This window comes from Homo sapiens, chromosome 7, assembly GCF_000001405.40.
Source record: "Homo sapiens chromosome 7, GRCh38.p14 Primary Assembly".
Lineage (NCBI taxonomy): Eukaryota > Metazoa > Chordata > Mammalia > Primates > Hominidae > Homo > Homo sapiens.
The window spans coordinates 57420161-57436979 of NC_000007.14; the positions used below are offsets into that span (position 1 = coordinate 57420161).

Here is a 16819-nt window from a genome sequence, read left to right on the forward strand (position 1 = left end):
GCAGGCGCCCACAGCCATCCCTGGCTAATTTTTTGTATTTTTAGTGGAGACGGGGTTTCACCGTGTTAGTCAAGATGGTCACGATCTCCTGAGCTCATGATCCACCTGCCTCAGCCTCTTAAAGTGCTGGGATTACAGGCGTGAGCCACCGCACCTGGCCTATAATTTTCCAATACCAAGAAAATCATTTGATATTGCAAGATTTTAAACCTAAATTAGTGTCTTTAACTTCACAAAGGTAGAAATCCTATAAGTAATGTTTCTTGAACACTTTAAAATGACAATAAAAACTAAAGTGTAACCAACAAGTAACATGTAGCCACATGCAAATTTCCTTTTAGATTGTTTTATTATTTTTTTAACTTTATGTGAATTTTTATTTTACTAGGTTTTTGGGGAACAGGTGGTGTTTGGTTAGAGGGATAAGTTTTTAGTGGTGATCTCTGAGATGTTGGTGCAGTGTACACTGTACCCAATGGGTAGCCTTTGATCCCTAAGATTGTTTTAAATGACATCTAGATTAAATAGAACATTCAAACTGACATTACTTTTACAGCACCAGAGAAATGCTAAGGAGGAAGCTTTGTGACTGAAACCAAAAGACCTGAATTTATATATTTAATTTTACTAATTAACATTCTTAATTTTATAGAAAAACAGCAATTCTGCCCACATGCAGGAGTTATGCATTAAAGTGGAGCATGATCACTTCAGACATTTGTCCAAAACATAAAAATTCTTCCAAGTATTAAGAAAATATTTATACTTCACAGATATTGTTAGTGTATAATACATGGGCATTGAGATGTTTCAAATGAGAAAAATTGAAATTTCTCATGGGGCATTGTTCTACACAAAATATTTATGTAAAATTTTTTACTCATATATGCATGTGGACATTTGATGTTTTAGCACAGAATAACATATTCTCAAAGGTCATTTAATGTAGTAAATTAAAAATCTTTAAAGTTTACAAGAATTTTAAAACTGCCCAGCAGAACTGATAGAAAAATATGGGAGCTTCCCAGGACCAGAAGTGAATCAAGAGGCAAATTCACAGGAGTCATGAAAGTGAGAAGTTAGAGCTGCCTTCAGGTACAGCTCTGATTGCAGGGCTGATTACACAGACCTCAAGCCTGTGAAAATCGTCCACTCTGCCCCTTGGAATATACATACAGAGAAAATTACTAACTGGGGCATCCCAAATGTGAGATCTCTATAATGTAAGAACCAAATTGCAATTATGAAGCACACAAAAGAAGCTACCCAAAAAAGGGAAAGAAATTATACATCACGTAAACTTCACAGATTGGAAACGTATTTAAAATAAGTAACACAAATAGGGAAAGAGAATATCAAAATAATTTTGAAAACACATGAAGTTCTAAAGCGGGCACTGGGGGCAGTGGCTCATGCCTGTACTCCCAAGCACTTTGCGGTGGCCAAAGCAGGAGGATCACTTGAGGCCAGGAGTTTGAGATCAGCCTGGGCAACAAAGCAAAAGTTGTCTCTACAACAAATAGATATAAAAAAATAAGCCAGGCACAGTGGTGTGTGCTTGTACTGTCAGCTACTGGGGAGGTGGAGGTGAGAGGGTCTTTTGAGACTGGGAATTTGAGGTTGCAGTGAGCTATGACCACCACTGAACTCAAGCCTGGGTGACAGAGATTCTTTCTCAAACACACACACACACACACACACACACACACACACACACACACACACACACTAAACAGGCATGTTTTGCAAAGACTCAAACAGAAATTGAACAACTGAAACTTAAATAAATTTAATATACAGTGTATGGTTTAATTATTAAACCAAGTTAATAACAACAGGATTAGTGAACTAGAATACTGAGATGAGTAAATAAAAGAACTACAGAAAAATGAAATGATCACAATACAAAAATGAGTATACATGTACAAAGAATAAAATGAAATGAAATCAAATACATTGGTTTCACTAGCTTACATATAAATAACAAATCACATTAATAACAAATATTTATAAATTTCTGAAACTGAATATCAGATGGGAACCCTTGAATGCAGAAGTGTATTGTGATTAATAGTGGCCTACCAATAAAAAATACTCAACAGAAATAAAAGTCAAACTGCATAACAGCAAAGAAAAGAAAAAATTTTAAAGCCATAAGAGAGAAAAGAAGAGAGAACCAATGAAGGTGAGAGCAAAGTCTTCACAGCCCGTGTTCAGTCAGAAAACAGAGAAATAAGTAAGAGTGCTGAGATAAGTCACTGTTCAACCAATAATTAGATACTTCACTAACATATTTTGAATAAGTGAGGATGCACTACATGATTTCCAAAAGTAAAAAAGTGGGAAATCTTATTACCAATATGAGCTTATTAAGAATACACTTCAAAAAGAAAAAAAATTTAAAATGGAGTTCAAGGAATCAAAATGAAATGCAAGAAACTGCAAACATATTGGGCTATCAAATCATGGTGGACAATGAACAAAAGGATCCATCAAGTCTTTGGCAGCATCAGTTTCCAAATGATTTACATAAAATAAAAGTGCTAAACTCTATACAATGTAATGAAATAAATTATCAAATCCTCTGATACTTGAATAATTTAACTGATGTTAGAATCTCCTTTTCAGATAATTATTTTCATGGAAAAAAATATACAATACTTCTGTCTCATCATTTGCAGAATATCAATTATCCTTTTTTCAGAACTTATTAGCACCAAAGGGCTCACAGTGGCATAGGCCCTGGTCACAAGCCTCTGGACACCCAGGATGACTGAATCATATGTTTATATCAGAATCAAGTAGGATGACAGAATCAAATCCATCTGGTACATAACCACAAAGAAACTCACCAACAGCAAGATGGTCTCGGAGGCCCTTTTTTCTGGAGAGACTCTTGGAGAGTCTGGTGCTGTGAAAGTGCTGGGATGGCCTCTCATGCCTGCACAAGAGAGTCACCATGTATGCACTGGAGAGCAGCATAATTCCCACAAAGGAGACATCTCTGGATAATGACAGAGTAGAAAAATAAGGCTCCAGATGATGGACTTCCTTGGGGAAATGAGGCAGTTTTATTGAGTGTCAGAAAACTGGTCTGAGTCATATTAAAATAAACCACAGTGTCAAAGATTATGTAACTACTGCAGGACAACTGAGGGACCATAAGAAGACAAGAATATATGAAATATGATTTGTGAATTTATGTTTAAACCTAACCAACCAGGAAGTGCTGGGGCTGATGGTGATGGCCTAGAGCGTGCTCAGGAGGCAGGTGGTGCAGACGCAGAGGTCCCTCATCACCCTGCTCAGGTAGAAAAGCGTCTTACACTTGAAGTCAAAATGAAGGGACTCAAAAAGGTCTGGAGACACCAAGAACACAATGGTGAGCAGCATCATGATGTGGACAAGGGCCAAGTGACTGGTGGTCAGGTCAGTGGGCTTAGGATCCAGAAGGAGCATCGTGGTACCAGAGAAAAGGAGGAAGATGTTGGCCAAGACTCCAGTAACAGCTTGGGCAAAGAAGGCACTTTTGAATGATAACATAAGTGGAAACTGTGTTCACTTTAATGGCAAAGAGGAAATATTTTATGTACCTGAAAAAATCAACCAATAAAACTTCCATCATCAATGTTACTTACTTCAGATTCAAAATTATCACCGTCATTATCATTTTAAATCCATCCATTTATTTTGATTAATGTTGATTATCACATATAAATTCTTAAACCTACAGCCTGATCATTATATGATAAACAAAATTATTAAGTTGATCGAACACCCACACATGCACAGTCACATCTGTAGAGGGCGCACATTATCTGTGCTCCTATAGTATCAAGGACACACTTCTTTATTAAGCATTTAGTTTTCACTTTTTGCATTCCTTCATTTAGTTTTCATCACCCAGAACTGTGACATGTATATAAAAATGAATCATGGGTGTTTGTAGAACAGAACTGAAGTAGATTTTGTGCTAATGGAAAAAGCAATCACCTGATATATTTTGGAAAAAAATAATAATGCATTGAGTGGCTGTGATATCACATCAGTCTGACATCATGCTGAACATCACATTCATGCATGCAAAGTTTCATGTATCCTGTAAAAATTATATAGCAGATACATAGCAGAAGATGTTCTTTTCAGATAGTTTGTGGTAGTAAAAAAAACTCCCTATTAGCAATTAGTGTAATAGGATTAAACGTAATTTTATTATGGTCATCTACTAAAATCTTCTTAATGTGAAGTATTTTAAAAACCTTGGGAGCGCGTCTGGCCGGCCCCGCCACGGGGCCGCGCGGGGACGCACACAGGTGGACGCGTGGACTGAGCCCGGGTGCCCATGGCCCGGGACACGACGGCCCAGCGGAGCCGCATGCCTCCCGCCGCGCCCGCGCGCAGCACAGACGGGCTGTCGCTCGCCTTCCTGCAGAGCCTGCGCACGCTGTTCCACATCCTGTACGACCGGCGGCGCGGTTGCGAGCACCTGCGCGAGATCCAGTCCCGCTGGCAGGGCGCCAACGCGCGGGAGCTGCCCCGCGGGGTCCTGGAGGGCCTGCGCGAAGTGGCCCCGGCCAGCGGCTACCTGACCTTCGAGCGCTTCGTGGTCGGCCTGCGCACCGCGCTGCTGAGCGCCGACGGCGGCCCCCGGGACCCCACCCACGCCCCAGCCCGGCCCGGCCCGGGAACCAGCTGCCGCAGCGCCTGCTGTTCGCGCCGGCCGACGAGCCGCGGATGGTCCCGGAGAGGAAGCCCCTGCCCCTGGGCGAGCGCGCTTCTCTGGCTTGTCCCAGCCGCGCGGCCCGCAGCCCAGAGCAGCTGTGCGCCCCCGCCGAGGCGGCGCCCTGCCCCGTGGAACCGGAGCGGTCCCAGAGCGCGGTCCTGGAACAGAGCCCCAGCGCGGACGCAGGTGCAGCGACCTGCAGGGCCTTGGAGGCAGACTCAGGGGATGCCCCGCGGGGCCCAGCGCCCGAGGAGAACGTCAGAGGCACACCATCACCAGCGGCGTGGACTGCGGCCTGCTGAAGCAGATGAAGGAGCTGGAGCAGGAGAAGGAGGTGCTGCTGCAGGGTTTGGAGATGATGGCGCGGGGCCGTGATTGGTACCAGCAGCAGCTGCAACGGGTGCAGGAGCGCCAGTGCCGCCTGGGCCAGAGCAGAGCCAGCGCCGACTTTGGGGCCACGGGGAGCCCCCGCCCACTGGGGCGGCTACTGTCCAAGGTACAGGAGGTGACCAGGTGCCTGGGGGAGCTGCTGGCTGCGGCCTGTGCCAGCTGGGCCCTGCCCACGTCCTCCGCCGGGCCCCCTGCTCTGCCCTAAGGTCAACCTCGTCCCCGGGCTGTCAGCAGCAGACCATCCTCATGCTGAAGGAGCAGAACTGACTCCTTACCCAGGAGGCGACCGAGAAGAGTGAGTGCATCACGCAGCTGGAGCAAGAGAAGTCAGCGCTCATTAAGCAGCTGTTTGAGGCCCGCGCCCTGAGCCAGCAGGACGGGGGGGCCTCTGGACCCCACCTTCATCTTGCTGGTGTGGGCTGAGCCGGCCCACGGGGCCAGCCTGGCACTCAGCCCTTCGGAGCGAGCACTCTGTCGCACCCAACCTCTCTGGCTGGAGATCCCCGGCAGGCCCAGGCAGTCCCGGAATGGGCGCCTTCCTGCACCCCTTGCCATCCAGGCTCCCCGGGCCTGTCCCCGTCTGGCCCCCACACCGAGCCCTTGACTCGGTTTTGGCTTCCGGTGCTGACATGGGCTGAGGCTCTCTTGAGTCCGCATAGTCCGCAGCTACTACTGCCGCTGTCAGTGGACAGTGAGGGACCCCTCCACCAGTTACCAGATCTCTGGTCGCCCGGTTTCCAGCGGTGCTGCCCTGGGTCCCATCTCCAGGGAAAGGCACTGCTCACGCCAGGCTGCACTTCCGATAACGGCCAGCAGACGGCGCTAGACGGCACAGATGCGGCGCTGAGGCTGCGCCCCAGACCTGGGGGGTCCAAGGGCAGCTTACCCCCACCTCAACCAGGGCACCAGGACAAGGAGGCTGTCTCTCGGACGGGAGCAGATGGAGGGGATGGGGAAGGCCTCTAAGCGGGGGTTGCTCGCCTGGCAGGGAAGCCCCAGGGATGGCGGTCGGACTTCAGGTCCTGGCCAAGGCTGAGAGACTCTGGCTGCAGCAGATCCCGGAGCCGGGTGGACGAGAGCTTGGCTTGCTTGTGCCTCCCGCAGACCCCGCGGTGATGGTCTTCCTCATCCTGGCCAGGACGCTGCCCCACGTTGTGTCCCACAAAACAACCTGTGAACCTGGCTCCCCAGGAGGGCCCTGTCCCCAGGTGCCTGGGCCCCCACTTTCCAGGCGTGTCATAGGGAGAGTCTGTCACCCCCTCACTCAGGATTCTCTAGGTCTGGGGTCCTGCTCACCCCGCTTTCCTCCCACGCTCAGCCTGATCCCAGGTTTCATCCAGGAGGAACCACTTCTCTCAGCCAAGGAAAAGGAGAACCCAGCCAAGGTACAGGAGGAGGCTGGGACAGGTCCCCTTGGGTGTCACTCCCTGCCCCTGTGCCCAGGCCCACTCCCGCTGGTGCTGGGGTACGCACTGGTGGGGGCCTCATGCTCAGCCCAGCCTGGAGGGCCCCAGTGCCACCAGAGCCAGGGGCACGGCAATATCACGGATGGCTTCTGCAGCCCAGGGCCCCCAGTGCAGGTTCAGTGTGTGTGTGTGTAGGGGGGGGGGCGGGGTGCACAGGGTCCCTGATGCGGGGTCAGTGTGTGTGGGACGCAGTGCCCCCGATGCAGGGTCAGGGTGTGTGGGGCGCAGGGCCCCCGATGCAGGGTCAGTGTGTGTGGGGCGCAGGATCCCCTCGTGGCCAGGGCACTTTGGTGCACTGTCCCACAAGGCACCCCTGTCTCAGAGGAGGGGTCCTGGCAGCCAGCACGGCAACTCCCTTCTGGAACCCAGCTCCACGATAACCTGCCCACAGCAAACCCACAGAGCCACATCCCCTGCTGTACCCGGGCTGCAGAGGTGTCCCAGGACAGGCCCAAGCCAGACCAGCGTGCAGCTGTTTTCCTACCCTGAGGATGGGAGGGAGGCTTCCAGAGGACATAAGAACGCCAGGCCTCAACCCTCCTGGGTGGGAAAGGGAGCGGGTCCTGAAGGCCTGTGTCCCACAGCGCCAGCACCAGGTGGACTGCAGTGCAGTGGATGGGCCAGCGGCAGCCGGGGAGAAGCCCCCCGACATCAGCAGGCTGGGGTCTGCCCACCAGGGCCTCCCCACATCTGCCTTTGAGGGTGCCTGCCATGCCCTGGGGGATCCGGGCATCTTTACAGGACTGGAAGCAGAAGACAGAACAGTGTCTGTCCCAGGGTGACTTCATCAGGAGACCGCCCACATAGAGCTGGACCCCGCAGCTAAGGCAGAAATGTGAGACAGGCTGGCACCTCCCGGAAAACTGCCTCTCAGCCTTGGTGTTCCATGCAAGGTGAAAAAAATATGGGTCATCCAAGTTTACAGCTTGCAATCAGGCTAGTGTGTGGCCCTAGAGACCACGAGGGGAGAATTTAAAGTGGCCCCGGCTGGCACAGTCTAGGTGGCTGGCAGAGGCACATGCGGACCCTGCCTGGAGCCTGCCCTAGTGACGCTGGGTGGGTCAGTCTCCTTGCAAGATGTGAGCAGCATCCCTGGCCTCTATCCATGAGGTGCCAGTAGCATGCGCGGGTACATACACGTGCATGCACACACAGTTATGACACCTAGAACTGTCTCAGGATGTCACAATGTGTCCCTGGAGGCAGAAGTGTCCCTGGTTGAGAATGAGCCCCAGAGGAAACAACCACACTAGGCCTCAGGATTTTGTGTTGATCAAGTTCCAAGGAAAATGAATATCTCAGTCGGCCGCGGTGGCTCACGCCTGGAATCCCAGCACCTGAGGCCAGGAGTTTGAGGCCAGCCTGGCCAATGTAGTGAGAGACCCCCCGCATATCTACAAAAAAAAAAAAAAAGAAAAAAGAAAGAAGGAAGGAAAGAGAAAAGAAAAGAAAATGTGATCTCCTGTTTTAAAATTCATAAACACCACAAGAAAACAATACACTATGAGACCCAGCAGAAACAACAGGTAGACTCTGTAGACACAGATACTGGAATTATCAGAGAGAATATAAAGTAACAGTGTTTTATATATCTAAAGAAATAAAAAAGTTTTCTGGAAATATGAAAAAAAAATCTTGTTTTATCACATGATCGTTCAAATCATCCTTAAGTATTAGAAATACACTACAGCATCTCCAAATTTAAATAAACCTGAAGTAGTATAATTACATCACTCTGAATCAGTGCAGATTTGTACTGTCTTAAAATGTAAAGATTTGCATAAATGCATAAAATAATTTGTACTACTTTATTAAAATGGAAAATAGTCAAAATTCAAATTCAAATATAATTACATAATGTCAAATTTTCTTCCACAAATCTATATATTTGTATATTCATAATATTAATATTTCATCTAGAAACATGTACTGACTAGTTATAATTCAGTGAGATGTAAGAACAAATCATGAGAGAATTACAGACATCGCCCACCTGAGTCTTGATCGCTCACTGGTAATGAAGCTGAGAAACAGACGCTCACCTGGCTGAGTCTTGGAGTGAGTCTGTGTGTGAATTGTGGTCCCTGAGCCATGGTTATAAGGAAGGGATGCTGTCAGTTTATCTCCCTCAGGCCCATAATTCTCATGTTACCTGTAGAAGCAGATGGCCCTGACCCTGCGATTGTTAGAAAGGAGAGCCACTGGGAGAAAAATAAATGTACCTCATTCCTGAAAAGAGCAGAGTAGCCACAGCTGGGTTCTGAAGTTTAGAATGAGTGAGCTCATTTTCTTAGGTAACTTTTGCTCAGGTGAATTGCCTCCTCTCAGTCCTTGTCAACAAAATGGATGTTAAAGGATAACTCTAACTTCAAACCACCTTTACAGTTGCATGTCAGATTACCAAATGTTTCCTTGCTAAAAAAAAAACTATACATACATACCATGGTATGAATGAATATCATAATGCTGCATAAAAGAAACCAAATTAAAAAGCGTGCATAGTATCTAATTCCATTCATTAAAAAAATCAAAAAGCAAACAAAACTGAATTTCTGGCTTCCTAGCTTGTTTAACAAGACTCTCACAGGAAAAGTAATACATTTTTGATAAAATGTGTAATTATATAGAAATATATTTATGTGTAATACATATGGTATAATACATGTATGGGTAAGAAGTGAATGAGAATTTCAGCTTTGTCCACTGTAGGGGAGTTAGGGATTGGAGTTGAGTTTAGTCAAATTAAGTTTCTTCTAGAAAAATAACAATACTCCTCAAAAAGCATAACAGAATCTAGAGTGTCTATCTGTCATTTATAGTTTCTAGCATATAATTTTAAAATTCATGAGATGTGTGAAAAAAGCAGGATAATGTAATTCATATACAAGATTAAAAGTAAAACAGCCATCAGAAGCTAGCTCAAAGATGTCCAAGGTGTTGTAATAAGATGACAAGAACTGGAAAGCAGCTATTATAAATATGGTCATGGAGGTAAAGAAAAATATTCTCATAACGATTGGGCAAATGTGGAATCTCAGAAGAGAAATGGAAATTATAAAAAAGCCAAATAGAAAGATGATAATAAAAAAGTACTATTGAGAGGATCATCTGATTAGAAACAGAAGAAATAAACTTAAAGACAGAGCCCTAGAAATTAACCAATCTGAAGACAATGTTTCAGACGAATGATTGAAGAAAAATAAACTGAGCCTCAGAGATCTGTGAGATGACTGGGTCCTGCTAGACAACACCTGCCTTCCCCAGTGTCGAGTCCACAGTGCAGCTGACCTGCCCCTGCGTGAGCATTTCGGCTGTGGTCCAGCATTCTTCTGAGAGCCTGGCCCCAAAGGCCAATGGTCCACCCTGGGGCTCCTGCCACAGTCACTACTGCCACTGCTATTGCTGCCACAAGGCCAAGGAGGAAGTGTGGAGACCAGGTACTTTCATGCACCCCAACAGTGGAATCCACCCTGGTTTTTTTTTTGAGATGGAGTTTCCCTCTTGTTGTCCAGGCTGCAGTGCAATGGCGAGATCTCGGCTCACAGCAACCTCTGTCTCCCGGGTTCAAGCCGTTCTCCTACCTCAGCCCCCGCAGTAGCTGGGATTACAGGCATGTGCCACCACGCCGGGCTAATTTTGTATTTTTAGTAGAGACGGGGTTTCTCCATGTTGGTCAGGCTGGACTCAAACTCCGGACCTCAGGTGATCCACCCGCCTCGGCCTCCCAAAGAATCCACCCTGTTTTTGAGGAAGGTAGGTGGCAAGTGGGTCACAATGTTTCACAGCTGCCAGCCTCCACTGCACCCACTGAGGGGGGTGCCTATGCTCCCCAGTAACAGGCCCATGGCATAGCCACACTGCCCTTGCCTGGGCATTTTGGTTCCAGCTGCACACTCTTCTGAGGCATTGCAATCCCCAGCTGCTGGCAAAGCAGTTGACTCTGATGGAAGTGGGGAGCAGCTCTGCTCTTCAGGGCAGGGCAGGGTCAAGCCATGCCTCTGGCACCAGCTGTCTCACTCCAGCCATTCCCTGAGTAGAGTCCAGTGATGTGGGTCTTATCCTAGCTCCATGTGTCACCAACTGTGTGACCTCAATGAGTTTCTTCACCCCCAGCCTTCCGTGTCCACATGCAGGCAGTGGATATGGGACATGAATAGTGACAACTGCACAGAGTGACTGGGCACGTCAAATGAGATGGGACCGATAGAAAGAAAAGTGGAGGCCTGGCCCATTTGTTGTTGGAGGTGCTCGCTGAGGTGCAAGAAGGTCTATAGGTCACCCACCCATCTGCCCAGGAGCCTCATCTGCCTCAGCACTTATTAGGCATCTGATGTACAGGGATTCTATGGCAGACACCCAACACAGCCCTTAGTTGTGGCTGCCACATGATTCTCCCACCTTGGCCTCCCAAAGTGCTGAGATTATAGGCATGAGCCACCACCCAAGCTTAAATTTTTGTTTCATTTTTGTTGTTTTTATATGCTTTAATTACTTTCTCTTTTTCTTCTGTGTATCTACTACAGTTTTTTTCCTGGTGGTTATCATGAGACTTACATAAAACATCTTGTATCTTAACAACCTTGTTTAAGATGATGACAATTTAACTTCTATGCATAGAAAAACTTTACAAATTTTCTCCCTTTCACACATTTTATATTATGTATGTCACACTTTACAACTTTTTATGTTGTGTGTCCATTAACAAATTATTGTAGCTATTTTATTTTTAATATTTTTTATAAATCTTACACTAAAGGTCAAAGTGACTTATGCAAAACCACTACAGTATTAGAGTATTCTAAATTTCACTGTTTATTTACCATTTTCAGTGACATTTATTCCTCAATATTTTTGGTATTATTAGCCTTCGGTCATATCAATGTGAAGACTTCCTTTCAGCATTTCTTGCAGAACAGATTGAGGTGTGATAAATTCCCTCACCCTCTTTTTTGTCTTGGAATGTTAGAATGTCTTGATCTCTATTATTTCTAAAGAGCCTTGTTGGATATACTCTTCTTAACTGTCAGGTTTTTTTCTTCTCTCAGCATTTTGAATATATGGTCTCCCAGTTTGCTTGCAAGGTTTCTGCTGAAAAATCCACTGATACCATTATAAAGGTTTCCTTCTATGTGAAGAATTTATTGCTTGCTGTTTTCAAGGTTTGTGCTTTATCTCTGTATTTTGACAATCATAATGTGTCCAAGGGCAATCTTTATTAGGTTCTTCTTGCTCAAGGTATTTGGAGCTTCATAAAACTGGATGTTCACATTATTTTCTAGATTTGGAAAGGTTTAAGACATTACATATTTAAAGCTCTTTTCCTCTTTCTCCCTTTTTCTGAAATTTCTGAAATGTGTATATTTGTTCACTTGGTTATATATTGGTTACTTTTAAATAGCCTGTTTTGGAATTTGCTGAATTTTTCTTCTTTAGGATTGAGTCTCCTGTTAAACATTTCTATTACATGTTTCCCGTTCTGCCATTGTTTATTTCAGTTGCAGGATTTCTGTTTGGTTGTTTTTTATGGTTTCTATTTATCTATTAAAATAATTTTTAATATAGTTGGGGTCTTGTTATGTTGGCCAGGTTAATCTTAAATTCTTGGTCCCATGCAATCCTCCAGCCTTAGCCTCCCAAATTGCAATTTTCACAAGTATAAGCCACCATGATCAGCCTATTTCATTATTGTAATTCTCATTTTGTTTCTGTGTTGTTTCATAACATTTTTAGTAATCTATCGGTGTTCTTTTGCATCTTATTGAAATTTCTTGATGATTATTTTAAATTCTTTGTCAGTCAATTCTGAGACCTCCATTTCTTTGCAGATTTTTACTACAGCTTTATTAGTTTCTTTGGGTGATGATCATGTTTTTCAGATTCTTTAAGATCTGTGCAGCCTTATGTTTGTGTCCCTGAATACGAAGGAGTAAACACAACTGCCACTCATCATAGGATAGTTTTGAAAGATAAATACTTTCTCCTATTGGGTCCCTGGGCTGATGAGATTTTAATTGAGATTGTAGTTGAGTTTGTTGGAGCCAGGTCACGTGACTGCTACGTGGTCTTTAGAGGGCTTTGTGAACATTTAGAAATCCATGTCTAAATAAGCTGTATTGCAAAGAACAGTGCATATCCTAATCCTGGTGTTGCTTGAATAGATGGAATCCTTCTGCCCTCCATAAACAAAATTGATGAAATAGGTGAGAGAAATAAGTGTTAAAATGCACACTGTGTCACCTGGAGAACAGAGCACTATATCTGGGTATGCCAGTCAGAAGAGACATTTTTTTTCTTTCTCAAAAAGGTGGTTATAGTCCAGCTGGGACCCTGAGGTGCATCTGGATCACTTGCGGGGTTTGAAATATCACAGATTACTGGGCTCTCCTTCGTGTTACTTGCTCCGTAGTTCTTGTCTATGGCTCAAGAATATTCTTTTTCTACAAGTTCTCAGGTGTTTCCAATGCTGCTTGCTCAGGGAAATCACTTGGAGAACCAGTATCTGGGTGCGTATTGTGTGTCTTCTCCAGCAAGGATATTGGCCCACAGAAGATGCAGTCAGAGACAGGTGTCTGAATGGTTTTAAGTGGACTTCGGTGTTGGTTATCCAAATGTGAAAGTGATCTGATCCTCTGGACTATTGCATTACTTTTCTCTTACCTCAATTAAGTGATCAGAATGTGCTATTTAAAACCTATAAGTGGCCTCAAACTCTTCAGTAAAAAACCATTTATCATTGCGTTGCAAAAATTCCAAACTATTCATCAGAACTGAAAATGTCTTGTGTGAGATTCCATGGGGTAAGGAGAGCAGTGACAAAGCTGTAACTATAAGACAGACAAGAAAATGGCTTTGATGCATATGTAACTGGGGATAAAAATAAAGAGGGAATGAGGAACTGGAGATAATTATAAAATAAAACAAGCAGAATTTTCTTTTCTAAATTCAGTCAGTTCAGTTGAAGAGCAGGTGTCCTCTCTCCACATGCACAATCAATGCTATTTCTTCACTCTAAATGTTTCAGTCTCTTACCTGAAAGATGTAATATTACTCCAATAGAAACAGTTTTCTCTGCCGGGTGCGGTGGCTCATGCCTGTAATCCCAGCACATTGGGAGGCCGAAATGGGCAGATCACGAGGTCAGGAGATCGAGACCATCCTGGCTATCACAGTGAAACCCCGTATCTACTAAAAATACAAAAAATTAGCCTGGCGTGGTGGCATGTGCCTATAGTCCCAGCTACTTGGGAGGCTGAGGCAGGAGAATCACTTGAACCCAGGAGGCGGAGGTTGCAGTGAGCCGAGATTGCGCCACTGTACTCCAGCCTGGGTGACAGAATGAGAGTCTGTCTCAAAAAAGAAAAAAAAAAAAGAAACAGTTTTCTCTTAAATGTTGAGTACCTGCTACACACCCAGCACTGTCCTCTGTATTTGTTTACTTTATATAAACATTAAAACAACTTCATAACTCATAAAACCTCATAAATTTCCACCGGAAAAAAAATCAGCCTGGTAACATTTTTAAAATTGTATGCTGTCACTTAACATAAATAGAAGGAACAATTAACTAAAGAAAATTTTGACTTAAATAGTTTTTTCTCCAATCGTTAAGGGAGAAAATGGAATGCAATAGTGAAATAAAATGTAATACGCTCACTCACTGTAGAATTAAATCTTCAAATAAACTTCTGAGCAACATTCAGTTTTATGAAAACATTTTTAAAATCACTGAGCAGATAATATAAAAATATTTCATAAACTTTGGAAGAAAAAATTATATATTTGTTCTCATGTGAATAATAGGCAACTAAACAAAAAAAAAATATATATATATATAAGGAAGATTCTGAACCCAGGAGACCTCAGATTTGGGAAAAATAAGTTCAGTGTACAGTAGAGAAACTCATTTTGCTTGAAGCATTTGTGAGGTTCCTGATTTGCTAGCAAATTGTCAACTCTTCCAACACTATCTTTTTGGTCCACAATTTCCTTTTCAATTTAAAGAATACATACACACATACATACACACACACACACAATTTCCTCCTCTATATTTCTCTTACACATATAGTTTATTTTTAGCCTAATATATTTGTATATTGCATTCAATGTAAACCAAAGCACAAAAATCTTTATGTGTTCAGTTGGCCCATGTACAGGAAATGTGCAAAGAAAAATATTCAGTAATTTTTTTTTTTTTGAGACGGAGTCTCTGTCATCCAGGCTGGAGTGCAGTGGCGCGATCTTGGCTCACTGCAACCTCCGCCACCTGGGTTCAAGTGATTCTCCTGCCTCAGCCTCCGAAGTAGCTGGGATTACAGGCACACACCACCACACCCAGCTAATTTTTGTATTTTTCTGATCTTTATCATAACTGACATAATCTTCCTGTAGTTACCAAAAAGTTAAAAAAAATATGAAGTAGAACTTTTGACAATAGTCTCCACATTATTTGAGTTCTCTGAACAAATCATTACTAAATATGTCATTTCACTGTATTACCCAATAGTATATTGTTACCATCTGTTGCCCCCAATCTTGATTAAAGTGAAATAGTTTAACATTTGTGGCAGGATAACATTTCATTTATTGCATATCAGTGTTAAAACACTGAAAAACGTTTAGTTTATTAATTAAAACTAAGTTAACACATAGTCTAAGTAAGGCATTCCAAAATCCATTATAGTCTTCTTGGTCAAAATACAGTCACAAACATTGAACAAGCATTATTTTTTTCTCTGATGAAATTATCTTGATACTTCCTTTATCTATTTTTAAAGATGAAGGTTATTTAGGAAACATTGATTTAAAATACATTTAAAACCTTTCATGGAGGCGTTCTCTCTATCTGTAATTTAAAAAAAAAATTATCACACTGAATAATATTTAAGACTTTAACCTTTTACTATAATACACTGGTATTTTAATAGACTGCCCAGCTTTTTTATCCCTTAAGGAGAGATGATTGGTAAAATTATTTATTTCAAAAATTCGGAATTTTTCACTCTTCCTTTAATAGAGAAGAATAATTCCCAGTATACCTACCTCATGCAGAGTAAGTAAACCACAAACAGCATCTCTCTTTAATTTTTTTTTTTTTTTGAGATGGAGTTTTGCTCTTGTTGCCCGGGCTGGAGTGCAATGGTACATTCTCTGCTCACTGCAACCTCTACCTCCCGGGTTCAAGCAATTTTCCTGCCTCAGCCTCCCCAGTAGCTGGGACTACAGGCACCCACCACCACACCTGGCTATTTTTTTTTTTTGTATTTTTAGTAGAGACGGGGCTTCACCATGTTGGCCAGGCTGCTCTCAAACTCCTGACCTCAAGTGATCCACCCTGCTTGGCTTCCCAAAGTGCTGGGATTACAGGTGTGATCCAGCAGTTATTTTTTAATTTTTATTTTTTAATTTTACATTTGCCATGAATTTCCATGGAGAAATTCATATAGAATGGCCTCTCCCAGCTCTGATGCAGCAACAATAGGTCACATTGTTTATAGTGTTTTCATATAAACACTAGGAATGTAGGCATAGTGACAACCGATTTAAGAGTTGAATTACATCAATAATAGATGTTCCTTAAATAATCTCAAATAATGACAATACAAAGCAAGTATCCATTGAAATATAATTATACCTGTCCAAATATCATAGTCCTTGCTTCTTGCGAAAATACAAACCAGTAAATTATCGAATTGTTTTAACTTTAGATTATTCTCTATATTAAGTATTCTTGTCTAATGTAAAGTTTGAAAATTATAGTGCCTTTGTACTTTCTCGTGGGAATTCTCTGAGGTTTAGTTAGACTTGATTTTTGAATACTCCCTCACACTTATTGCATTTGAAAAGTTTCCCTGTGGAAGAATTCTTTATGAATTCTGGTTATTTCTAAGGTTTATATTTAAGATAAAACTCTATCTACATCCATTACATGTATAGTGATCTTCTAGTATGAATTATCTGATGTTGAGTAAAGTGTGAACAGTTGTTAAAGGCTTTGCCACATTTTTTACATTGTATTTAAAACAGCACATAGAAAGCAAATCTGTTTTATTCATTAAGACAAATTAATAATGTTTTCCATTTTAAAGAAAGTGTGAAGGATTTTTTTTTCTAGCTAGTCGTCATCCTTTATATAGACAGCTTAGGGGTCCCTGGGTGCTGGAGACAGGGGTCCCTTGCCCACTCATATCTAAGAAGGTTCTGGTTGGCATTCATTCATTTAACACAGAAATATTAAGCA

At 43.2% G+C, this 16819-nt stretch overlaps 2 pseudogenes; one reads left to right on the forward strand and one right to left on the reverse strand.

The window, feature by feature from the left end:
* On the reverse strand, positions 2625-3543 carry VN1R28P (vomeronasal 1 receptor 28 pseudogene; annotated as a pseudogene).
* SAPCD2P2 (suppressor APC domain containing 2 pseudogene 2) lies at positions 4259-5719 on the forward strand (annotated as a pseudogene).
* Positions 5720-16819: the final 11100 nt, after the last annotated feature.